The following is a 1,035-nucleotide window of genomic DNA, read 5'->3' as shown; positions in this document are numbered from 1 at the left end:
AGAGCCCAGCGAGGGAGTGGTGAGTCCTGCCTGGGTTTCCCACCATCCCTCCGGCTGCTGCAGGATGAGATGGGCAGGTAGCGGCAGGAGGTGAGGGGCAGTGGACTCTCTGGGAATGAAGGCTGGGAGGGGTGCTCAGCTGGTTAAGGGAGAGGGTCCCATGGCAGCTGGCTGGGGGTGGGGGGCTGTGATAGATTATCTGTGGTCCAGACTGCAGCTGCTCTCCTGAACCTCATCTGCCTCCTTCCCTGTACAATCCAGTTTTAGCACTCGGTCAGTGTAGCAAGAACCCCCCACCCTTGGTACCTGGCCACGGTCAGTGTCTGGAAAATTCCTCTCTCTGACCCTCAGTACCTGACCCCCAGCCTCCAGTCAGCAGGAATTCTGTGAGGTTGGTTCTGCCAGAAAAAGGGGGGCTCCATGTCTCCTGGTGGTCCCTCCCCACCCACCAACTCCCGCTCCCTGGCCACAAGTCTCTTACTGTCCTGCCATGTTTGCCACACAGCCCAGCTCCACAGTGGGCCCCGCCCCTCATGTGACTGCCCTGGGTAAAATCTGTCTTCTCCACTTGTCTGGCGCTGGTCTTCCTGGGCAGCAAGAATGAGCTGTCATGGGCAGTGGCGCCTCACCCAGGCAGCAGGGCAGGGAGAAGGCAGCCCTGCAGGCTCTGAGAGAGCAGGAACCAGGAGACAGTGGTGTCTACTGGGCCAGGGAGGCAAGCAGCCACCCAGGGCCTGGCAGTAGCACAGGGGCACCAGGACCCAATGCAGCTCCTCCTGCCCCCACCCTTGCAGAGCCTCTCTTGGGCCAGGCCCACCCAAAGGCCAGAGGATGATGGGCCCAGGTCAGCCTGGGGGGTGCCTGGGCCTGGTGGGAGCTGGCGAAGGGTGCTGGTGTAACTGCCCAATGGGTTCTCCTTGCCCCCTGCCTAGACAGAGCTGATTCATCAAGACGGGGAACTGCAATAGACAAAGTAATTCACACAGAGCCGGCTGTGCAGGAGAACGGAGTTTTATTACTACTCAAGTCAGTCTC

The sequence above is a fragment of the Homo sapiens genome, chromosome 5 (assembly GCF_000001405.40).
Source record: "Homo sapiens chromosome 5, GRCh38.p14 Primary Assembly".
Taxonomy (NCBI): Eukaryota; Metazoa; Chordata; class Mammalia; order Primates; family Hominidae; genus Homo; species Homo sapiens.
This window is presented reverse-complemented; position numbering follows the sequence as displayed.